This window comes from Homo sapiens, chromosome 3 (genome assembly GCF_000001405.40).
Source record: "Homo sapiens chromosome 3, GRCh38.p14 Primary Assembly".
Classification (NCBI taxonomy): Eukaryota; Metazoa; Chordata; class Mammalia; order Primates; family Hominidae; genus Homo; species Homo sapiens.
Window position 1 is genome coordinate 26,696,689 of NC_000003.12, and position 26,230 is coordinate 26,722,918.

At 38.1% G+C, this 26,230-nt stretch overlaps 1 protein-coding gene across 10 annotated transcripts in view; it reads left to right on the forward strand.

The window, feature by feature from the left end:
* The window catches only part of LRRC3B (leucine rich repeat containing 3B), an 88,005-nt gene extending 73,917 nt beyond the window's left edge, over positions 1-14,088 (forward strand). For 7 of the 10 annotated variants that reach the window (NM_052953.4, NM_001395646.1, NM_001317808.2 and 4 more), the window contains one exon: positions 12,825-14,088. In NM_052953.4, the coding sequence (NP_443185.1) occupies positions 12,985-13,764 (780 nt within the window). In that variant the 5' untranslated portion in view covers positions 12,825-12,984 and the 3' untranslated portion in view covers positions 13,765-14,088. Of the gene's footprint in view, positions 1-2,614; positions 4,609-12,824 lie in introns of those variants that run through there. The other 3 variants (NM_001317811.2, XM_011533332.4, XM_047447402.1) reach the window with 2 other exon arrangements.
* Positions 14,089-26,230: the final 12,142 nt, after the last annotated feature.

Here is a 26,230-nt window from a genome sequence, read left to right on the forward strand (position 1 = left end):
TTCCACCACATTTCTATCTCATCCTGGTTTTATCCTGACCTCTAGTAAACATCATCCCTAGATCATAATTTAACTTTCTATGGCTTAGAAAGTCTTGTACACCTCAATGATTTCACTGTATGCAAAAGACCAAAGAAGAATGTATCTGCATCATCAGTGAAATCTTAAAGACATTGTCCATTATGTTGTTTGGCAGCTCTTTCCTAGGATTTTTTGAAAATGATAAAATTTGAAAAAATTTTATCTCTGCTAATAACTAATTGTTTTGACTGTTTTAGATAATAACCATTTTGTAATCTGATGTTTTTGTTTTCTGTCTTTAGCTGCCAGGAAACTCAGAGTTAAGCCAGGTACTTAGTTGCAGCAAAAACTCTTAACTCACATAATGGGGAGTCAGATAGAATTGACTTCAAGTTCTATTCTCCATTTACTACTCTATTAGTTTCCTATAGCTTCTGTAGCAAATTGCCACAATCTTGGTGGCTAAAAATAACACACATCTATTTTCTTATAGTTCTGGAGGTAGAGTCTGAAATCAGTTTCAATGGACAAAAAATCAATTTTGGGGGTATGGCCACACTAACTCCAAAGACTATAAAGGACAATCCATTGCTTGCAACTTTTAGCTTCTGGTAGCTTGTCAGCACTTCTTGACTTGTGGCTATATCACTTCAATCCTTACCTTAGTTGTTACATTGCCTTTTCTTCTGTGTTAGATCTCCCTCTGTATCCTTCTTATAAGAGCACTCAAAATTACATTTAGGGCTCATCCAGATAATCCAAGATAATCTTTCCATCTCAAGATCCTTAATTTAATCTCATCTGCAAAGATTCTTTTTCCATACAAGGTAACATTCACAGGTTCCAGAGATCAGGACCTAAATATTTTTAGACCATTTTTGGCTTATCATAATCTATCCTCTGATTCCGAAAGATTTACATCCATCCTCCATGCAAAATATATTAATCATATTCAAACATCCCCCAAAATTCTCAATTCATTACAGCATCAACTCAGAGTACAAAATCTCATCTAAATATCACCCCAAAACCCTCACATTTTAGCATTTAAATCAGATGTGCAAAGACTCTAGGTATAAGCATCTTGGGAGCAAAATTTCTTTCTATTTTTAAAGTACAGCTTTTGGCCCTGTGCCTTGTACATAGAAGGTGCCCACAAAATGTTAGCCACCATCAGAATTATGCTCTTCATACTCTTCCCTCATTATATGGTTCATTTTCTTTACCATTCTATGATTCTGATTTACCTATGTCTCTGAACGTGGATCCCTCTTGGAATAACATGAAAAAGTTGATAAAATGAAATCATTGACTCTTTAGAAACATTGTCATAGCAGAGAGAAGACAAGGTGTAAGATGGTGAAGGCTCCACATTGTCATAGCAGACATCAGTGTAAGATGATGATGATAGTGGTGGTGGTGGTGGTGGTGGCAGTAGTACTAGGAGTGGTAGTAGCAGTAACTCTGACTGAGAGTTTATCTTGTAAAAGCAGATATTCTAAATGTGTTACATGTGTTATCTCATTTAATCCTCATCTCACCCTTGTGAGGTGGAACTTTTATTACCCTCATGTTCAGATGAGAAAACTAGGATAGAGAAATTATGCAATGAGTTAGTGGCCAAGCTGTGATCTCCATATTGGCCAATTAAAACCAAGTGCACCTTGCACATGTCTCATAGGGCAGTGAAATGGAGTCCTGGAGTTCATGAGATGCAATTGCAGAGAATCACTGCTCATTTCACCTTGGGTTTCCATTTTGTATCACTCTGAGGGGATAAGCCTTACTCTATCTAGGATTCCTAAGACTTTTTTGCATCACCAAAAAAGGACTTATCTTCCCCTCGAAGATTTTTGTTAAGATGTAGAATCTCCCCTACCCCAAATTTTTACTTGAAAAATTTGAAACTTTCAGACAAGTTGAAAAATTGGTACAATGAACACATATATCCATCACCATCCCTTTAAAATTGTTAAATTTTTCCCATCACTGTTTCTCACAATATATAGGCAGATATATTTCGTTTTTGCTGAATAATTTGACAGCTGCGGTTGTCAAGACACTTTACCCCAAAATACTTCAGTATGTTCCTCTTAAGAACAACTACCTCCATTCTACTCATATCAGCATAAATTTTAAGAAACGTAAATTTGATGCAATAATACCTTACATACAGTATACATTCAAATTTCCCCCAGTTGTTCCAATAATGTCCCTTTCTAGCATTTTCTTTAAATCCAGAAGTTGATCTCTTGCGTTGTTTTCAGTTGTGACATCTCTTTTCTTTATCTAGAACAGTTCTAAAGCCTGTGTTTTATTGTTATTTTGTTTTGTTTATTTTTTATTTTTGTTTTTTGTTTTTCTTCAGTGAAATTTCAAAAACTCCAGATTAGTAAAATACCTCAAGTTGTGAATTGGTCTGATGCTTTCCTCTTGATTAGATTCGGGTTAAATATGTATTGGCATGAATACTGTATGTGATGTGAGAATCATTTCCTAATTAGTTATACTTAAGAAATGTGAAACCCTCAAGACAGAATGATCTTATATTTTAGGAAAATAATTAAATTTTAAACCTAATCATCTTTGAATGGTCATTGACAGTTTTTGAAGCACATTTCACACATATTTTATTGTCTCCTTGTAACTGTGAGACCAATGAGGTGGATATTATTGATCATAGTCCTAGGGCAACTAAGGGATGGAAGTATGTGTGTTGTGCTAAATTCCTGAAATTCATTACTTGGGAAGCTGAGTTTTGAATCCAGTTTCTGAGTCTTCATTTTGGATCTCAATCCTGTGTTTTTCCCACCAACCCAGTGAATATTATTACAGCATCTTGTGTAAGAAGGATAAAGCAGGGTTAAGCAGGATATGTTTTTAAAAAAATTGTGACACTCATCCTACTCAGAAGTACAACTGAATTCACCATAAGTAAGGGCTTTCTAAAGGAAGCTTTCAAGTTATCCTGGACTCTGGTGAATCTTGAGAGCCTACATTTATGTAGATTAGATGTTAAAAGTTTGCAAAGCTCTCACGTTGTAAATGTCATAAGCATTTGCTGTGAAATAATAGTAGAGAAGCAGAAAGAAACCAAGATGGATAGATTCCCACTCAGTCTCCCTATAAACTTGCAACATGTTGCATAATAAATATGGATGTAGCAGAGACATCGTGGTATCTTTATGCTGTGCTCAGTATCCACAGAGGGATAAATGCTGGGTTCATAAAAAGTGGGTTTCAAAAATGTATTTGTTTGTTTTTCCAGTGGATTCATTGGTAGGAAGAACTTCTAAACCCACTCTGAAGATCCATAAGCACTAGATCTTGTAGGAAGGAGTTAATGTATTCAGAAGAGTCAGTTCTTTCCCAATATATTGAGGGTTTGCTTGAGGATTTATCTTGTGAAATAGATTTCAAAAGTGGAAAAGTAGTGCCTTAACTGACTGAGATCTAGAACAAATGGATTTCATGTGATTTTGATAAAAGTTTTATATCAGAGTGGCCTTTAAGAAATTCTAACAGGAAAAGGGGTTGTCTCCCTCTTTGATTTTCCCAAATTTGGCAGGAAGAGGTCAACAGAGGGCTGGTGAGGCATTTGAAACTCAGCATTTGTGTTTACAGACATTCATATAAAAAGTGGCCAGGAAAAGAGATATAGAAACCAATGCATGTTAAATGAGACCTGTTCTGGGGGATATCTGAGATGCAGGTCCTTTCCTGCTGCTAACCAGCTGTATGGCTTTGAGGAGTCTCCATTTTATGAGTTCCTCTACTGTATTAACATAGAGACTAATAATGTCCACTATGTGTAATTGACAGTGCTGTTTAGAGATAATCAAATGAAAGCATGCATGTGAACTTGCCCCACAAGCTTCTAAAGTAGTTCACGAATGTAAGGCAAATGGATAATTTTAGAGCTTTTGACTTGGAAGTATACTTCCCTTAATTTAAAAATCCATCTTGGTCCTTGTTTCCTATCTTAGTGGGACCAGTTAGGAAGGAAAAAAATTAGAGTTTAGCTGTAAAATGGTGTATGGTGCCATGTTTGATCACACATGCTCTGGAAACCAAAGGACTTCAGTTAAGTTCTTGCCTCTGTCATTTAGCTGTAGTTACCATAAATGGGTTATATAACCTCTTTAAGCCTCAATTTGTTCATCCGTACAAGGGTTGCAATTACTACCTTTTAGGGGCTTTGTGAGAATTGTGGTGAGGTGATACATGTGTAACCAGTATAAAATGAAACTTTCCTTCTTGCCTCTACTGTTCCTTTAATTTCTATCCTCTTGATCATTCTCTTCTAGTCCCTGAATGCAAACATTAGTAAGCCCCACAATGTTGTACTTACTCCTAGATAATAGATTGTCCTAATATTATTTTAAGTCACAAACTCAGTTAATTTAAACCAAAATAAAAATTAATCATGATCATTTAAATGTATAGTTTAAGAGATTAACAAAAACCCTGAATTTCATTTAATATTTAACTGTTCTCCCCTTCCCTTTGTTTCAGGCTCAAAGGGAAAGAGGATTTAGTAAGTGGCTTGATTTCTCTTCTCTGCCTTCCATTCCACTCCACCCCCAGGTGAGCATAACTGGGTGGCAGCTGCTCAGGAGGTAGAATTAATAGGATGAGAGGATTCAGGTCTCTCTCTCCTGAGACTTTCATACCCTCCCCCCATGTGGCTCCCCTGACTCTGATAGTGGATTCGTTTCAGATGGCCACTTGCTCGAAATCTAAGCATCTACCCTACAGTTTTGTGTTGCTGGAGTCCCTCTGTTCTATGAAGGAATTCTGTGGGACAGTGAAATAAGACTCAAGATGCTCGCTCCTTGAAAATCTCTTCCCCTCTAGTGACCGCATTTGACCTATAGGAAATAGTTTCCCATCCCTTATTGACAAACTCTGGGAGTGTAGGCTCACCCCAACATCGAAACATCACCCAACTCCATCTCCAGACAACAGGTTAACCCGGTTCTCTTTCCAAGACACTCTGCCTCCCAACTCCAGGGGTCATGTACTAAACTTTCTCCTTTCCTTGGGAAGGTGACATGATAGGTACCTCTTGACTGTTTTACTTTCAAAGTGGGCAAGGACACATTGACTCACAGAACATGTGTCAGCCAAGCTTTATATGGTAACTTAACCCCTTAATTCCAAAAAAAGTTATATGGTAACTAACTTTTTAACTCTACATTCATTTAACCAAGAACCTTGTCAGAATTTCAGTTTTACCATCCTGCTAGATGAATTCATCACTTAACAAATACCTGATGTGTAATAAATGCCAAGCAAATGATAGCTGTGTTATAATGAAATGAGAATGGATTATAATTCATTTCAATAAATAAATGTTTATTAAATTCTTACCATGGGCAATGTGAGAATGTAAAATGGGTAAAACAGTGACCCTGCCTGTTGGAACCTCATGGTCTAGCAGTAGAGAAGGTAAAGTGATGTATTTAATATGAAGTAGAAAACAGTAAATAATATAGTAAAGGCTGGAATATTAGAGAAAGGAGAGTTTGGAGATTGCAAGAGTTCCTTGCCTTAAACAGTTCTGGATCTGCTACCAGATTATTCTCTTTTTAAATGAAAATATTCTCTGTTCCTCATGCATCTGTCTGCCTTGTCAGTTCATATCCTTGACTAAAGGATCACAGCTGTTGTTATTAATGAGCCACCTAAATGGCTCATGGGCCAGAACTTTATAATTGGATTTTAAATCAGGAAAGCTATTCTACAGTGTAGAGATCTTCAGCTGGATTGGTTTCTGATAAATCTCATATTTGTGGAACGAAGTGCCATTCATCATCAGTTTTCTCCTCATTGAGCTGTTTGTTGAATTCATGTTTCTATGTCTGTGTAAGAAAACATGGTGGGAGATACAACTGTAAAAGGAGATTGTTATGAACCATCGGGAGTCATTAGTGCTTTTTTGACCTGCAGGATGATGTGGTTAAGAGTGTTACTTTAACTTGACATTAGAAGGATGGAAGCACAGAGACTGGACACCAACAATTCAGGAAGGAGGCTTTTGCTCTTTCAGAACAGGATGTTGGAGATCTGAATTAGGAAAGAGGCCATGAGAATGCAAAGCAAGGGACACGTAGAATGGAGAACAGAAAAAAACTTCAAGAAATCGGGAGGGAAGACAGGGTGGTCTACAGTGGAGGCGGGAGTCATTGGGTAAAGCTGAGGGTAAAATTATGATTTTACTTTTGGGTATGCAAAGTTGAGGCCCTGATGAACTCTTCCTGTAGTAGATGGTTGAGAATGGAAATGGAGAACTAAAGTCCATGGCAGAACTCAGTCCTAAAGATGTGAATGAAGAAGTTATTATCTCCAAACATGATCCCAAAGACCAGCAGTGGAAAAATTACTTATGCAATTTATTCACTTGAATTAGCCCTGTCCCAACTCTCTTTTCCTAGTTATTTTAGTCACAAATACACAGGAATTAGACATATTGATGGTTTATGCAACCCACACTTATTTTATGGATAACCTGATCATATAAATAAATAATATCTAAGCTCTATGATAGTCAATAAGACTAATTTTGGGAATATTGCATTAAAGATATCAAGTACTCAAACTTCAGGTTTTGTGAAAATAAACAAAAACCACCCAAATGAGAATAAGCAAATGCTATTCATTCAGAGCTTCCTACAGCAAAAGAGGCAACCACCATCCCTTGCTTTTGACAGAGAGACTCAAAGGCTGGCAGAGGAGTGTAAAAGCATTATAGTGGGAAAAAAGGAAGACTTCAGGAGAGTTCTGGTTGAAGGCTGTTGACATGGGGAAGCTATAGGTGGGCTAACTACAAGAAGGGCAGCCTACATGATTGGTTAGGGGTGTACATTTCGTGTTCTTTGGTTGGTCCTAAGTTGGAAGCAAGGTCAAAAATTAGAAAAATTATCAGTTAATAATCAGTTCTTGGCTGATTTGGGCTGTTTGCTACAGAGATTGTGGTTTGGTTTCCTGATCTAGTTGCTGCAGATTGTGCGTCAGAGATCTATTTTTGTATATGGTGTGGCCACTGTCCGTTTGTATATTCAGTCTCTCATCATGAAACATGTACTGCTTTTAATAATTCATTGTTCTTTCATTTGCCTTTGCCATCTTGGCCACCATTGTTCAACTCTTTCATGCACTGAATAGTTGCTTTCTGAGGCATTAAATTTAGGTTCATTTTTTGGCTAATCTTAGTCCTTTTGCATTATCTTTTAAATATTTATTGTAAAATAAAATAAAATATACATTTATACCATCAGGAATTAAAACTGTACAAAAGAATATAAAATAAAAAGGCAATTCCTCTTCTCCCCCTGACAGCCCCTCAGTTCCACTACTCACTTGGAGTTAACCATTACTAATAGTTTCTGATATACCCTTTTGGAAGTGATCTATGCATATGTAAACATATTAATTGCATATTTATATTTGCATATTTATCTTCTTTAAAAAAATCTACACAAATGTGATTATATTATAAGTATTTGCTTTTTTTTGAGCTGCTCTTTAGGGTAATCTTTGGACATCTTTATATCATCAACAGCTTATTCTTCAATTTTAAATTTTTGATAGATATTCCCAAATTGCTCGTATGACAAGAGTGCACCATCAATCCTCTTATCAAGTGTTTGAGAATGCTTTGTTCTTAACATGTTTATTGACACTAAATACTATGCCTAATTTTAATCTAGATGATAAGTACTTTAACCTGAATTTATTTTACTGACAGTGAGATCAAGAATCTTTTTATATTGTTTATTTTGTATACATCATATACATTGCTATTTATGTATATTATTTTCCCATCCATTTTTCTTTTCTGCTTTTTTTCTTCTTTTTATTTTTATTTTTTAGAGACAGGGTCTTGCTATGTTGCCCTGTCTGAACTCAAACTTCTGGGCTCAAATAATCCTTGCACCTCAATCTATCTCATAAGTAGCAGGGACTATAGGTGTGTACTGTTGCACCCAGCTCTCCATTTTTTAAATTAGTTTATCATTCTTTTGTAAGGATTTTCTGTGTATTAAAATAATCAACCTTTTGTTTTGTCATTTGTTCTTTGACTTTGCTTATGACCTTAACTTTTTGCCATAGAGAAGTTTTAAATTTTAAATAATTAGATGTATGAGGGTTTTTCCCCGTTGATTTGAATTTTATCTTTTAAATTAAAAGCCCTTCCTGTTTTGCTATCTATTTCCTTTTTAATCAAATTCTGCTGTTTAGTAATAGAGTTGCATAGACTATAATTGGAAGAAACTGGTGTATCTGGTATTTCTCTGTGAGTTGGTACGCTCACTTATCTCAGAAGGGTTAATAAAAGCTTTTGGGTTAGAATCTCTGAATGTTCCTATCATTTAATGATGAAAAGAAAGAAATAAGCAGAAAGACAGTTGTTAATCAGCCACTGAATGGCCTGTCTTCTCAGTGAATGAACACCCTGTTAAATGCACTGGTTTTTTTCTTCTGGAAATGGTATTTGATGGTTGCCACCCAATCCCAGAATTAACTGCTGATGCGCAGTAACCTGGATGGCAAGAAAATATGAGCGAAATATGAGTCTGGATAAAGTAATTCTCCTTTGGGGTGCAGTGCATACTTAAACACCACATCTAGAAATATTACGGCTTCTGCTTGACCCAGACGTAGTTAAAGGGAATGAGTAGATGGGGACAGGGTAGTCCAGTGAGTCGAGATTTGCAGAGGGGGAGTTAGGAGGGAGGAAAGATGCTGTTTAACTTGGTCCGTCCCTTTAATGGGTCTTATTCCCTATCAGAAAGACAGGCAGTATTGCTGTTGCTGTTTTTGCCATTACCAGTGTGACCCCAGGCCCTTCTTTATGTTCTAACCACTCATTCTGAAGTTAGTAGGAAGGCACTCTTCTTGCCCAGCAGCATAGCTTGTTTACTGCTTTGGGTTTGTGTGTAGTTGTGATTCAATCAAAGCAGGAGGGAGTTTTAGGCTTTCAAGCTAAGGGAGTTTTAGGCTTCCAAGCTTTTTAGCCCTGTATTCTGCTGGATGATAACCAATGTCAGAAGAATATCCACCTCTTTTTCTCTGAGGCACATGTCCTCATACCTTCCTTTTCCAACAGCCACTGTTGACCTAGCTAGTAATATAAAGCAATGTCAAACTGATAATCCCTTTGGAAACTATAGAACCAGTATCATAGAGTGGAGAGCAGCTCTTCCATCCTCCCTGGTGAAGATGACCTTGACTTGATACCTTTGGCTTTGCTGTCTACATCCTGGACATCTAAGTCTTTTTGCACTGCTAAAGCAATAGAAATTTATTTCTTACAGTTCTGGAGCCTGCAAAGCTCAACATCAAGGTGCCAGAAGATTTGGTTTCTGGTGAGATCCTGTTTCTTGGCTTATTGATGGCTCTCTTCTCTCTGTTTCTTCACATGGCAGAAGGGATGAGAGAATTCTCTGGGGCCTCTTTTATAAGGGCACGAACTCCATTCATGATGGCTCTGCTTTCATGACCTAATCACTTCTCAAAGGCCCCACCTCCAAATATCCTCACACTGGGGATTAGATTTAGATATAGATATCAGAATATGTGAAGGACCCACATATTCAAACCACAGCAGCATCCCAGGGCTCAGCTCTCTACATCCTGCATCTTTTGTCACTTTATTCTGGCTGGGGGTGATGGCTCTAGAGGCTGAGTCACAGTAGCTCAGCAATATAGCCAAATCCCAGAAAATTTTATTCTCTTTTTATCAAACATAATAGAAAATGAAACAGTTCAAGTCCAACTCCTCTGAAAGCAAGGCGTGCTCTGTATTTGTACTCCTAACAAGCATTACATCCAGTTCACAAGCATTACATCCAGTTCACAGGTAGACCATTTGGGATATGACGGATTCCATCTCAAGAAAGACTGCAATCTGAGTAGAGAACTCAACCTGTGTCCTAAACATTTCTTATATGTGACCATGACCATTGGACTGATCATTCTGGAGAAACCCTGATTATGGAGAAACCCTGATTAAGTATAAAGAAGCCTGCTGAGGAAGAGTTCCATTCTTCTTTCCATCTCCTAGGAGCCTGAACATATATGACTTTTCCAAAGTCCACTATGTTGCCATATAAGACCAGTAGACATTTGATGAGCCAATGTTTATGTTTAAAATATTTATAAAAATAATTGCCATGGAGAAGGAAAAGCGTACCTAGACTCTTCAATATTTTGTTGCTTTATTCATATAACATATTTATTTAGTCCTCACTATATGCGAAGCACTATGCTGGGTGTTGGGAATGTATCCGAGAATAATAATAGTAACTAAAACTATGGCTAAAAAGCATCGAACTTTTACTACCAATTTCGTACTGTGCTAAGCGCAGTGGCTCATACCTGTAATCCTAGCACTTTGGGAGGCGAGGCAGGTAGATCACTTAAGGTCAGGAGTTCAAGACCAGCCTGGCCAACATGGTGAAACCCTGTCTCTACTAAAAATACAGAAAAAAAAAAAAAAAAATAGCTGGGCGTGGTGGTGTGTGCCTATAGTTCCAGATACTCGGGAGGCTGGGGTGGGAGAATTGCTGGAACCTGGCAGGCGGAGATTTGCAGTGAGCCGAGATCACACCACTGCTCTCCAGCCTGGGCAACAGAGCAAGATTCCATCTCAAAAAATAAAAATAAAATAATAAATAAATAAAGCTGATATACAAACTCAGTGTACTTTTTATTTTTTTAATTGCTTACTATTGTCTCTGCAAGAGGCAGAAACAAGCCTCTGCTGTCATGGAGCTTGTACTCTGAATAGAGAACACTTCTTTTCTATGCCAAACTCCTTTAATGAATCCCAAGAGAAATATGAAGTGTCCTCCAGAAAAGGCTTCTCATCTTTCAGCATGTTTTAGGCTGGTTGCATATACTCAATGGATGGAAATCACTTGGCTGATGTGGACTCCCTTTATTTTCTTCAATTACATTAATTAATTTCTTCCATCTCCTGTGTTTTTCTCATGCCCTTTTCCTAGAATTCGTTGCCTTGTCCTTCTACTCCTCTGTCTCCTCTCTTCCCTTCCACACCTGTTTTTTTTTTTCTTTCCCATCTAGATTCCTAGAGTCCCCAAGTACCATGCAATACAGTTTTGAAGGGAAACATGAAAAGGAGGACACTTTCATTGCCAATGAAATGATCTGTTGATGGAGGGCTTAGTAAGCTTAGGGTCTCTCTTTAGCATTCTCTGGTATTTAAGGGACTCGACTCAGTTTTCCAAAAGCACGTCTGCTCCATTCTGCTGTTGCTAATCTCATTTTTTCCATGATTAACAATCCAGATCATTATGTTTTCAGCTCACATTAATCTTCTCTTCTGTGAGTTTGGTAACATTTGGAGTCATTTCCCTTTGTATTTATCCATCTGGGATCTTCATAAAAGACAAGTTTTCAGAAAGTCATTAGTTGCTCATGCAGAAAGTTGTTTGTTGTCCACTGCTGTAAGAGGACTGAATGCTCTTCTTGTTTCTTAGATCCTGGGAGGGAATCTTCTAAGTCAGGCATGGGTTCCCTACAAAATGCAGAGGGACCCCTCACTTGAGCTCCATGGGGTCCTCAACTTGGAACAGTATTCATAGCATAAAAGATAGGGCTGCAACATAACAGCATCAGAAATCACAATAAGCAATACTTGCTGGATACTTATAGAGTAGATGAGACTGGAAGAGAGTGTGTGGATAGTGGAAAGAGTTTTGATATTAATGAGTCAGAACAAAGACTTTGGCTTGAGTCCTGTCTCTACACCTCAATCTGTTTGACCTTGGGTAAGTAACCTCATCTCTCTGGGATCCACTTGTCTCCTTTGTGAACTGGTCCCAAAGATGTGTGCTTTCTTCTCTATATTAAAGGGTAATTTTGAGAGTTAACTTATATTCTTATCTCTGCTGTCGAGTAAGTTTCATAACTTTGTTCATCACTTAATTTTGCAATTTCTGTAGCCCCTGCCAACACTAACAGTATATGTATGCAACATGCAACATATGGAGAGTGAAGTCTATTGGGGAAGTCTTCAAAGACAGTATTTCTTAATTCTCTTGTTATATAAAAAAGTCATGGAGGTGTGTGCCATATTTAAGCATTTATTGGGAAGGGGATATGGTCCTTAGAAAAGAGAGAGAAGATCCTCTGGAAATTCAGTTAAAAGCATCCTCCCAGGTATAATGTACTTTAAAGAGGTCACAAGGAAGGCAACTATCCTGGAGGTTCTTGGTTGTCAGCCTCTAGCAATATTTTGTTGGAATGCATTTATTATTTTCTTAATTCAAGTAAGATGTTTCTTTAGAGACAATATTCCAAATTGGGCATCCATTCAAAAGCCATGACAGATATCCCTGTCTATAGTCATTAACCATGAAATATTGGTATTATTTCTCATTGCTGCCCAAGTGCAGGACTAAATTACATTAATGCATCTGTTATCTCAGAAAGGGTGAGAGACATAATTAAATTTTATTTCTGTAGAATTCGAAGGGGTCCAGGATGTGGAGAGCAGCAGAGAAATAGGGAGTATTTGTTCTCATTCTATCCAACTGAAAACCAGGCAACAGAACTCAGAAATATCTTCATATGTTCACAGTTCTCTCCCCCAGCACCTGGGATTTGAACAGGAGACTCCCATTTCGCAGATAACTCCCAGTGGCATTGATGGAAATTACCTGCATAACTAACCCCCCTGCTCAAGCAGAATGCCAGACACCTGAGAACACCTTTCATTACAATGTACCTCCCTTTGCAAAGGAACTAATTGCATCTGTTTCTCTTTCCTTTAGGTGCCCAAGCAAGGAAAGAAATAATGAAGAGACACATGTGTTAGCTGCAGCCTTTTGAAACACGCAAGAAGGAAATCAATAGTGTGGACAGGGCTGGAACCTTTACCACGCTTGTTGGAGTAGATGAGGAATGGGCTCGTGATTATGCTGACATTCCAGCATGAATCTGGTAGACCTGTGGTTAACCCGTTCCCTCTCCATGTGTCTCCTCCTACAAAGTTTTGTTCTTATGATACTGTGCTTTCATTCTGCCAGTATGTGTCCCAAGGGCTGTCTTTGTTCTTCCTCTGGGGGTTTAAATGTCACCTGTAGCAATGCAAATCTCAAGGAAATACCTAGAGATCTTCCTCCTGAAACAGTCTTACTGTATCTGGACTCCAATCAGATCACATCTATTCCCAATGAAATTTTTAAGGACCTCCATCAACTGAGAGTTCTCAACCTGTCCAAAAATGGCATTGAGTTTATCGATGAGCATGCCTTCAAAGGAGTAGCTGAAACCTTGCAGACTCTGGACTTGTCCGACAATCGGATTCAAAGTGTGCACAAAAATGCCTTCAATAACCTGAAGGCCAGGGCCAGAATTGCCAACAACCCCTGGCACTGCGACTGTACTCTACAGCAAGTTCTGAGGAGCATGGCGTCCAATCATGAGACAGCCCACAACGTGATCTGTAAAACGTCCGTGTTGGATGAACATGCTGGCAGACCATTCCTCAATGCTGCCAACGACGCTGACCTTTGTAACCTCCCTAAAAAAACTACCGATTATGCCATGCTGGTCACCATGTTTGGCTGGTTCACTATGGTGATCTCATATGTGGTATATTATGTGAGGCAAAATCAGGAGGATGCCCGGAGACACCTCGAATACTTGAAATCCCTGCCAAGCAGGCAGAAGAAAGCAGATGAACCTGATGATATTAGCACTGTGGTATAGTGTCCAAACTGACTGTCATTGAGAAAGAAAGAAAGTAGTTTGCGATTGCAGTAGAAATAAGTGGTTTACTTCTCCCATCCATTGTAAACATTTGAAACTTTGTATTTCAGTTTCTTTTGAATTATGCCACTGCTGAACTTTTAACAAACACTACAACATAAATAATTTGAGTTTAGGTGATCCACCCCTTAATTGTACCCCCGATGGTATATTTCTGAGTAAGCTACTATCTGAACATTAGTTAGATCCATCTCACTATTTAATAATGAAATTTATTTTTTTAATTTAAAAGCAAATAAAAGCTTAACTTTGAACCATGGAAAACAGAGTGACTTATTGGTCAAGAAAACAGTATAGTCATTCTACTTGCTCTAAAGAAAAACAGACAACCTTTATGAACTCAAAGAACTATCACAATGAAAAAATGTGTTATTAAGCCCTACTGTACACTGGGGAGCCGTAGCTGAATTACTGGCCGAGTTAAGTGTCTGTCAGACTCTAAAATACTGAGCTTTACTAGGTGGTTATACACAAGTGTGGCATCCTTCAGAGGCTTAAGTCAGGATGCCTTTTGGCATTTACTCTTCAAAAATAGATATAATTAGCTATTGAATCCAAATACTTACTTATTGTACCTTTGCTCTATGCTGGACAAAATGGAAAAGAAAAAGACAGCACATAGCCTGTACTCAAGATTACTTTCTGGTGGACTGAGGTGTGTGTGACAAATACAGAAATGGTTATGCTAGGGAGGAAGGTCCTCGTAATCATGTAGCATCAACAGGGTGCAAGCACTGTGAGAGGCATTTTTATGCTATTATTGTGTCCTGTAAACTCTCACAACAAGAGAAGAAAGTGACAGCTGCTCTATTTACATAGGAAAAAACTTCAAGTAAGAGAGCTTCATTGAGTTGCCAGGTAGAAAGTATTAGAACTTCTTAAATTTGAATCAGATCTTTCTGTCTCCAAAGAAAGGTCTTCACATTATGTTCCTACTGAGTTGGTTTATAGTTATAATTTTCTGTTAAAAAAAGCACCTAGGTTAAGTACACAGTTCTGAGTTTTAAAATATATATACTCCTGGCATCTGTCATACAATCAAGATATTGTGTCCTTGTCATTGGCCAGAGATAGATAGGAGAAAGCACATTTGGTTCTTAAGAGTAGGGAATTGTGTGGAAGTTATTGGTTTTAAGGTACCATTACAGATAATCTTTAAAACTTGGGTGGGATCTCATAAGGTGATGATGTAGACAAGGAAGATAGAAGAAGCAGAGGGATACCATATAGGGAGGTGTTTGGGATGAAGGAGTCCATGCAAAGAAGTGAGAAACAAGGCTGGAACTATATAGTAGAGATCTCAGTTCCAGACTAAGGAATAATAGAACTGATGGCATTTATGGAACACTTACTATGCACCAAGTACTTTCTTTGGAGTATCTTAATGAGTCCTTACAAACTCCCCTATGAGACAGTCTTTTGTGAATGAGAATCAGAGACACAGGAGTTAAGTAATTAATACAGAGTTTGTAAGCATAGCAGGCATTGAAACCCAGTCTGTCAACTCCAGAACCTATGAACATTTTATCCACTGTGCTGCCTTATGGTCATCAACTTTACTACCTAAAGTTGCTGATTCCTCAGACCTAGAGTTTTGCAGCCTCCTACATGATGGTTTTATTTTTCAAATAGCACAAAAATAGCCCTTTGTGAGATTTATGTAGGTAAGAGGGAACCTCTGCCCTTTTGAGACACTTAGCCTTCTCCAACCCAAGTTAGGGTATCTTTGGGCCTAATATTTCTGCTCTCGGAAAGCCCTAGAGGTCCTAGGCAGCAATAGTCTCTTTAAATGTTTATTTATTGCAAGGGACAATCAGGGTCAGCTAATCCAGGACCTGTGGCGAGGCATGCAGAGCACTGTGGCCAGGCTCTGCTCATGGTACACACACCCCAGGGCCATGGGCTTTTCACCCCAACCCCACCAAACTTGCTAAAAGTGTTAGATCTAGTCTAGAAGCCTGAGGTAACTCCTAGATGTAAAATTCAGGATATAGGCCCAAGAATTCCTGCATCCCAGCAAGAAGGAAGCCAGACTGTCTGCTTTTACGAACTGAATTGAGAATTCACCTTTCCAGTGAGACTGAAGCTTTGCTGAAGATTTATCGCCCCCTGGAGGACAATAGTATAATATATCTCTTCAGGTACTCTAGAAAAGATGCCCAACTGAACTGAAATACACATTTTTTTCCTAAAGAATAGGAAAATCAAGCCTTTGCTAAGACAACCCTTTAAAAAGGTAAATTAATTGTATTTATTTGAGTGTATGAATGAGTCACGTTCATTTTAGAAAAGCTTTCACAAATAAGATAATCCATTCCAGGCTGCTTCTTCCAAAATAATCTTTGTCTTCACTAATGGGAGCTTATTTTCCCAATGGTCAATTGTATTATTCAAGTAAAAGTACTTGTAAAGCAAAAATCTCTGAAAAGTTTTGTAAGCATAGTTATATCCTTGTTCAGATGCAGGAAAGTTAAATTTCCACATATTCACTTTGAAATTCTCCATATACATAGAGCTGAGAGGTGTGTCATAGGTTAATAATTCTCCTGCCTGAATTCTATGTGTAGATTTTTAGTTAACAGCACCTTAAGCGCTTTTTTTTTTTTTTTTTTAAAAAGAGCCTTTAAGTTCGGTTGCCATGAATCATGTATAAGCCATTGGAGGAGAAAATTAATTCTTTTGTTTGTTTCTTTATTTTAAAATAAATACCAGGCTATGGCACCCGTTTGTGATCAGAATTGAGAAGAAGCACTCTTCCTGCCAGCTTGTGGGAATGCTGTGTCCCCCAAGGCCAACAGTATATGCTGCCAATGAGTGAAAAGAACTAAGACTCAAGTCTGCACAGAAAAAGGCCCAACATGCATGCTTCAGTTTTGATCCCAGCTTGGCCCTTAATTTTCCAAACCCTTGCAGATGGAGAGCTACCTATTTTGGGACTGTAAGGTTTTTGAAATTAACTGTCAACTCATTATCCAAGGCACATACTATCTTACCTCTATCTTACCTTCTAAATATTTTAAATAACGCTTTTCTCAGCCTTCTCTTTTGGCATCTCTTTCTTAACCCCAACCTTTTAAATTCAGAAATACCTAGGAATTTTACTCTAATTTTTGACAATGTGCTTATCTTTGAAGCAAGGAAAATCGGAAAACATGCCAACCCAACTGGAACATTTTTAACAAAGTAATGAAAAGTTATGTAATGGAAGATTTAGCTTTCAAGAACACTTTGGCAAATTGTAATGCAATGATATACAAAATCTGCCAGGTACGCATTGTTCTTTTTTACGTCCTTCTCTGATTCTTCACAATAACTCTTGTCCTGACATCAACAAACATAAGGCAGTCTCAGATGTGGGTAGGTTTTTCTTATTGGCTTAATACTTTCAATTCATATAGTAAGTTCTCTCATCTATCTGGCAGAGGCAGGAAGTGGAAAATTCTGCTTAATTAAATGTTTTTGTTACTACAGCTAGGTGAATTCCTAGATTGTTAGGGCTGGGAGAGTCTTAGGGATGAGCTTACCTACTTATTTTACAGGTGTTGAAATTGAAACCCTTGCAGGCCTACAGATTAGCATCCATGTCCTCACGTTCCCCAACCAGTATCCCTTAAAGTACACTAATTTCCTCTCTTGATAAATTGTTTCCCAATCAACAACAAAAAAAAATAGCATAACAATATACACCATGAAAATGTCACTGACCATCAGCAAGTTTCCTTGAGGATTCAAAAGGCATGTAAGGCTCCCACATTGTCACAGTCATAGTAAAGAAAATTTATGATTCCAAAAACCCTCTTGTTCTTTCAAGATAGGATGAGGAGATCAGTTTGCCTTTTAAAATAGACCCCAGATAACATGCTCCATGTTGAGCATGACCTGGCTTCCCAGTGGAGAGATGGAGAAAATAATCCTGGTGCAAGTTGCTGGAGAGGGAGAGTTGATTAGCATTTGTTTCCTTGAGTAACAACATAAACCACAAGTGATCGAGTGCATCCCTGCTTGGCAGGAGGAGAATGACTGTTCATAAATGATGCCCTTCTCCATTTCCAGAGCTCTTGTCAGCTTGGCTTCCCAAAGTGGTATCACTCATCTGTCAAGTTGATTGGGTCTGACCCAGACAAAGCAAACCAGAGGCAATCTCAATTACGACACATTTGTAAATGTCCTGTCCAACTCATTCCAAAGTCCAAATAGGTGAATCAGAATTCGCAAAAAAAAAAAAAAAAAAAAAAAAAGGAAGATCTGCATTCCTCATCCCACATTTGCCCACACTCATGATATGGATGGTCCCAAATGTGCCAAATGACTTAGTGGGCTACATACCCTCAGCCAGGGGCACTCCTCAAGGTCCAAGACTTTTTCATCCAACTCAGGGAAATTATGCTGTAGAGGCCACAAGGTGAACATAGAGTCTCATGGTTTCATTGGTGGATGACAGTAAAAAGGAAAGCCACTAGTTTTATGGCTATAATCTCTTCAATAGGAAAAGAACCAGAAGCTAGTGAGGATCACTTAAGAACCATGTGTGTGAGTGTGTGTGTCTGCATGCACATTGGGGTAACATGGAATTGGGTTCTGAAAACATCAGGAAAACAGATGCTGGAAACATTGAAAACAAAGTGTACCTGCCAAATTTGGCCTAGGGATGGCCTAAGTTTCAGGTTTCTGGGGAAATTACTAGATATATTTTTAAGGCTGTCTCCAAGTTGAGTGCAAACATTTACACTTCTCACTCACTAGTGGCAACTGAGTTGATCAATTTCATAAGTTGTATTTCTTCTTTGGCTGGAAAATGTTCTTCATTTTGCTCACCATTTACAAAAAAGAATCGATGTATTTTTTCTTCTTTCCCTGTAGATGTCCAGGCATCCAAATGGCAGGAGTTCTCTGGATCTGACCTCAAAAGCTAGGCCTGAAATGAATACATTGTGGGTCTCTCTGGGGTTGGAACCAAAACCTCATTTTTTTTTTTGTTTTATTCTTTTTATTTTCTTACAAAGAAGAGTTTGTAAAACAAAAGGCAATCTGAAATCTGGCTGTTGGTCCAAGAATTAACAAGCAATCTGTTGTGCTAATGACATCGACTGTTGAATAGATTTCCAAAGAAAATGACCCATGGGGAGTAGGATGAGGTTAATTCACAGAAAGCCGGCTTCCTTGGGATTGTCTGCATTTCTTCTGAAGGAAAATGTCTGAAAGATGCTGGTCTTCCCTCAAAGTCTTTCATTCCCACAGACAGCCCTGCCAGTTCCTGGGCTCCCACAGGAGCCAACTGCTGTGAGAAGAGGTGAATGAGATACGAGAAAGGAAGAAGAAAATCTCGGAAAAGTGTTGCCTGGAGTAAGTCTTTAGGAGGACAAACAGGACTGACTTAAACTGATATTTTCAGCACTTCACCATTAACAAGACTTTTTATATTCACATGAACTGAGGAATCCTGTGCATAAGCCACAGATAAAGAATGTCTTATCAAATAATTCCACCTTTCCCTAACAATGGTTATCATTTATTTGGCATAGTGCAAGATTCTGTTTCCATCTTTCCTAGTTCTCACAACATTTATTATCAAGTAGATATTATTTTTCTCATTTTACAGATGAGGAAACTAAAACTTAGAAAGCATCCTGCAAGAGCAGAGCCAGTTAGCTATCTGCAAAGCCCTTTGCTCCACCAATGTCACATTGCCTAGTCCTTTCGTTTTATGAAGTCTCATCTTAAGACATGATAAGTGGAGGAGGATAGGGAAAGACATTTTTCTTAATTTGCACAAGAGGGAAGTGAGGTTCTAAAGAACAAAGCAAGTCTTAGCTCACTCAGCTAGTCAGCAGAGCTTGGTGTTTGGGGACCACTATGGTTTATCCCTTTTTTATACCCATCCCTTTAGGCCCAGCTCTGAAATCCCACATACACCTAAAGTAAACTAGGCTCCTGGATGGGGCAGATGTACATATAGTTTTCAATCATGGGAATGATGACTTTTATTTCAAGGTTGCTCATGGGATGGTGGGGATGTTGAGGAGGGTGGTGTCACTGGCAGCCACATGTGCCTTCAGTCCTACCATCTGCATGTACACCAGCCAAATTCCAACTGGCACCTCCTGCCTCCACTTGCCTGAGGGTTTTCTGTGGCCACCATGGCACATTTTGCCACTTACATAGCAGGTTTGGAATGCTGGCGAGTTGCACCTTTCAGGTGCAATCCTCAACCGATGACTACTAAGAACTTGGTGTATAAACACCCAGACCCCTCACTCTTGGAAGCATACATTCTACCCCATGTTGCAGAGTTTCCCCAGCAGAATGAAGCTCAACTCATACATCAAAATAATGGGCTTTGTGAGGGATGAATTCTTGCTGTCTTTTTTCCCTTGTCTCACTTTTCTACTTCCCTTTTTGTGTTTCCCAAATAAACCTTTGGGAAACACTTCCTAAATAAACTCTTTGCATTCAAATTTCATCTCATTGCCCACTTTTCGGGAGAACCCAACCTAAGTCACCTGAATATACCCTACATCAATACTTTCCAAACCTGGCTAATGATCAGACAGATTGAGAAAGTCTTTGAAAAATATAAGTATGAATGCGTTACCCAGATCTACTAAACTAAGATCTCTGGAGGTTGGGTTCATGCCTCTGTCTTTTCTGTTAATCTCCCTTCTTCTGAAGATTTAGTGATTAGTCAGGATACCAACACTGACCCATAAAGCATCCTGCACTAGAAATTTTTTCTGGAACATTGCACTTGGCAAAACTTTGCTGCCATTAAAAAAAAAAAAAAAAAAAAAAGTGAACTCTGTTCCTTCGGGAAGAGTGAGTGTCATGTGAGCCCATAATAATGTTCCCTGTTTTGCCTTACATCCTAGGAATATCATGAGAAAAACAAATCTATGCTTCAGATATACAACCTCACAGCCCATCTAGCTGTAGCCCAATTTCCTCTACTTTTGGCTATTTCATTTAAGTCATTAGTTATTCTGATTATTTTAAATTTGTTATTTGTATGTTCCCATTTTATTATAAGTATTTATTTACCATCTCTCAAATCCTTTATGTAATGAAATAAAGAAGAAAATGACATTTATTTGTTGTCTTTTACATTTCTCTCAAATTTATAGATGGTTCCCAGACTCATTTAATATTCTATATTGCTCAAGTTCTGATTTCTTATAATTTGTTTCCTCAAACTTGGTTTCATGTTCCAGAAATATTGGATATCCATTTATCCTTTGCTATGAAACTATGCCTTGATCACCAAGATTCAAGATCAGACACAAGTCTCCCAATCTCACAGCCCCCCAGTAGCTTTTGCTAATTTGATCCCCATTCACCTTGGAAGGAGGGAGGTAGAGTGGATGAGAGCATTATTTTTCAAATGAGGGAACTGAGACCCAGAGATGCTAAGTTACTTGCCCAAGGTGTTCCCTGGTAAGAGAGCTGGGGCTTACAGAAAATTCAGTTGACACCAAAGCTCATGTTCCGTCCACTTTTCATTTATGAGGCATGAACACCTTTGGAGAGGCATCAGGCAATTGCAAGAAGAAGAGTAATGATCTGGCTTGAGCAGCTTCTTGGTTTTCTTTGGAGTGAAAAAGGCCCATATTTATCTGTTTACTCAGATTTGGAAGATTATCTTATCACTGTTGCTATTGTTATAAGAGAGCGAATAATATCTTAGTTGCTTTATTGTTTCATTTTGTCAATTTGTGCTTTCCAACTGATGCTATATATGACGGGCTGAATTATGACAAAAAGTAATATGTTGAAGCCCTAAGCCCTAGTGCCTCAGAATGTGACTGTATTTTGAAACAGTGCCTTTAAAGAGATAAGTCAAAAGTGAAGCTATTAGAGTGGGCCCTAATCCAATCTGACTGATATCTTAAGAAAGGTGAATAGGACACACAGAGAGCCACCAAGGATGTAAGTGTTCAAAGGCTCAGTGAGAAGTCAGCCATCTGCAAGCCAAGGAGAGAGGCCTCAGAAGAAAGCAAACATGCCAGCACTTTGATCTTGAACTTCTAGCTTCAAAAGAGCTGAGAAAATCAATTTCTGGTATTTAATCCACGCAGTCTGTGCTATTATTTAGTTATGACATTCCAGCAAACTACTACACTGTATTAACCCTTTTTCTCCAAGGACTTTTGGAAGGTTTTCTTAGTAGGCAATATGGGAAAATTGTAGGAAGTGCAAATGATCAATTAATACCATCCCATTTTGAGTGCTATATGTGTATCTTTCTGTGTTGCCCTTAGTTTTCAGGGGCAACTTTGCCTTTGAAACAGATCTACCTCTGTCTTTTGGAAATGCCCTGTGCTGAGAAGCATGTGTCGTACCTCTGAGAAATGAGAACTTATGTGTAGATACATGAGAACAAATGAGAAAAAATGAATACATGATTAGATCATGCTGCCTCTATTTCCAGATAACTATTTTAAAGGGGAAATAGCCATATATCATGAAATATCTTAATTGGGAGAATTATATAATTATCTGCATTTAATTATATTTGAATTCTTATTCTACCCCCTGGCCCAGCTTCATTAGGAATTTTCCTCAGAGATAAAAATCCCAAATACCCATTAAAATAGTTTTCCTTAAAAACAGGGAAAAAAATGAGAAGGCTTTATTAATTCCCTTCCAGCAATTTTCACAGTAGATTGGCTCTGTTTACAACTCCAATGATCACTTCTGAGGTTGGGAGATCTGAAAACTCTGACCAGGATTGTAAATGATGGCTCTTGTCCCTTTCCTCTCAAAGAGTAACAAAAACACTGTAATTACAATCGGCTTACCATTCGGTCAATGATACTCACAGCTGGCTCGGCTCAGCTAGCAGGGGCTATGGTTCCGCCAGTAAGAGACTCAAAAAGACTTCTTCAGGCAAGAAATTTGGAAACCAGAGACAGTGGGAAGCCTATTAGAAAACAGTTCATTGGGCCAGAGATTTAGCTACAATAAGAGACAAGAGCAGAGGGGCCCAATTAACTCAGTATTTTAATTTGCCTTGTGGAGTGGTAAAAAAAAAAAAAAAAAAGAGCTCAGGACTTTTGCTTTTGTTTTAGTTTGCTTACAGAACAAAAATAACTTCAACGTTTAAAAATTGGAGGGTATAAAATCATGTAGAAAATGAGAGCAATATTAAAAGACACTAGGAGAAATTATAAATTATTCCAAAGCCACTAAGAAATAAGTATTCTTTCCTATTCTGTGCTTTCTTTTAGACCTCTTCTCTCTCCCTGCACATACGTTTCTAAAATTTCATATAAAAGCGACATATTATGCACATTGTTGAGATACATTTAATAACTCCCTATGCCCCTCTCAATAATGTTCAGGCCAGACCCCTTCATGCTGATATGGCCCTTCCAGATCAACCTTGTCCAGTTTTCTGGAATAATCTCTCGTCTACATACTCATAACCCACTAGGTTCCTACCTCTCTTATCTTGAATTCCTGGAAACAACATCCTTCTAACCCGCCACTCCACCCCACTGCAATCCTTTGAAGAGCTTCAAGCTGAGATGGGAGTGTGTGATCAACTTTGTATTTCTGAAAGCTAACTGGCAGCAGCATTCAGAATGAATTGTCAAGAGTGGGGGGAAAATTAGATATAAGTAGCCCGGGTATTTATTGCACTAATTCCAGGTGAACAAAAGCTAGAGGCATAGACCAGAGTTGTGGCAGTGGAGACAGAAAGTAGGTGAATTTGAGAGATGCTTGGGAGATGCAATCAGGCATATGTTAGATGCTATCTATCTATCTATCTCCCTATCTGTCTGTCTATCATTATCATCATTTTTGTAGTTATTGTGCTCTGGCCCTTAAATTTAATGATTATGAAGCTCATGATTAAAATACATGGAGTCAGAGGCTTTGTAAAACCAGCTTAATTATTCTAGCCAGCAACATAGTTTCACTGTCAAGTTGAACCTGATCTAGCCAAAAATAGGTTTGATTTAAACTGTATCACAGAATAAATGGTCTCAAATCTTTTATATTGGTTGTCAGAAAAGAATGGAGTTAATTTTATTTGAAGACATCCTTTAATGAAGGCTTTATATCAAAAACTATAACCACTTATCACCTTGCAAGAAAATGACTGAGCTCCTGTTAATGTCATTTATTACATTTCTTGTGTAATTTTTGACCTGAGAGTTGTAATCAGCTGGAACCTCTGCCCTTCTAGCACCTTCTACATCTCCACACATGTGTGGACCTGTTTCTTGAAAAACCTAGGTAATGTCTGAGCTTTTTATTCAGGAGATTAGGGTGTGGCATGCTGTACCTGGAATTCACCAAAAGAGATGTCTTTTAAAGGTGGGTGAACACAACTAAATATTATTTTCCAAGCCACTCGGATACCATCCCATGGAGTCTAAAAGACCAACAAAAAATGGCATAAAGGATTAATGCCTGGTTTTCAAAATGAAATGAAGTACATTGTTTTTAAGACTCAATGTAATAAAATGCCCTCTGGGACCCTTTAGTGTTGCATAAATTCAGCACACTTTAAAATAATGAAAATGATAACTTTTAGCTAACAACAGTTATTAAGGATTTACTATGTGCCAGGTATCATGCTAAGCATTTTTCATGCCTTCTTTGATTACTCTTCACAGCAACACTCTGAAGTAGATACATTACAATTCATATTTTACAGATGAAAGAAATGAAATTCAGAGAGGGTAATAAACTCATCTGTGGTCACACCTTCTTCAAGTGGTAGAGCAGGGGATTGCAGTTCAAGCATTCTGACTCTATAGGTCACATCACCAAACCACAGCTGTGCAACGCTGCCCCATGCCAGGATAATACACGTCTACATGTTTTTCATCATCATGATAATTAACACTTGGGTTAATTAAGCTTGAGAACTTACACTATGTACCATTATAATCTTCCATGCCCCCAAACTTTTAGTGTCTTACCAGCCTTTCAAAGTTAGTAAGGTAGAATGGGGACCATAACCTCAGTCTTCTGACACTCAGTGCTGATGAGTGTGATGTATCAGCATCATATAATCTATTTCCAAGTCTGTACTGGCAGTCCTGAATTTACCTACTTCCTGTCCTGAATTTACCTACTCTTCTGCTCATGCAGAAAAGTAGCTGAGCATTTTACAAATTAAGGAACATTAGATTTGTTAAAGGTAATTATTTGTATGTTTTAACCATCTACCATGATGTGATAAAAACTCTTGTTCATCATAAGTAATAGACTTGACAATTTAATATTAATAACTACATTCACGTTCGATTCTCACCTATATTACAGTACACTGCCAGTAACAAGAATCTACTAACCATTTTAAGATAAAAAGATCTTACTTAAGACAATAAATTAAAATGCATCACATTCTGGGCACATGCTTTAATCCAATTCATGAATGCGTACATTTCTCTTCTCTATGGAAAATTGGGTGATTTAGCTATAACATACAGACTTTTCTGTATGCAATAAATTTAGTTTCTGGTTCTTCCTAAACAGTGGAGATATCTCCAAAACACAACTTTTTTATTCATCCTGAAAGAAAAATATAAAACATAAGAAAAATATCAGCTTTGGGGGTGAAGTAATCTTGGTGTAATTTTAATCTTTTTTGAGGGTTTAGCTTTGCCTAAATTAAATATACTCTAACGTGGCTCTTCATATAGCTATTTGCTGTGATTTTATATATAGACATAGATATCAATATAGATTTAGATATATAGAAAGAGGAATCAGGAGGCAAAATTTAAAGAGCCAAAAGCAGGAAAACAAATGTCCCTGTACCAGTACGTTGGGTGCCCTGTGGCAGATTAGATCATAGCCCTATCACTTCTTACCCAGTGCCAAGGGATTTGCAGTACCTCCCACTGGTCAAAAGTAGCAGTGTGTCCTTTCAGAGCCAGGGTGTCAAATGTTTCCACATACCCTCCTACACTTCTGCTATTCATTATTAGAAGAACATATACCAGGTAGCCACTGATCTAACAAGGCTGGCAGACTCATGAAACTGACTCCTTGAGTCCCCTGAAGTGGACCACCTAGCAGCTTGAAGCAGAGTCATCCTTGCTGACTTGCAGAACAACAATCAAGAGAAATAACTGTTCCCTCTTTTAAGCCACTGAGACATTTAGGTTGTTTCTTATGCAGTATTATGGCAGCAATAGCTAACTGCTAAAACCCATAAGATATACCTAAAATAAAGGGATGAGAAAAAGAGTGATCTAAAATTTTCTGTCTGCTGCTGTAAGTGAATGCTCCTCTCCATCAACAGTGGAGAAATTGATCAGTGCCACTGCATTCGGAGCCTGGAGGGGACAACCACTTTATTTTAAGAGAAAATACACCATCTGTGTGATATGTATAGAAACAACCTATGCTCTTCTTTTGTAAAATTCTTTGGGAAAACCATTCATCAATA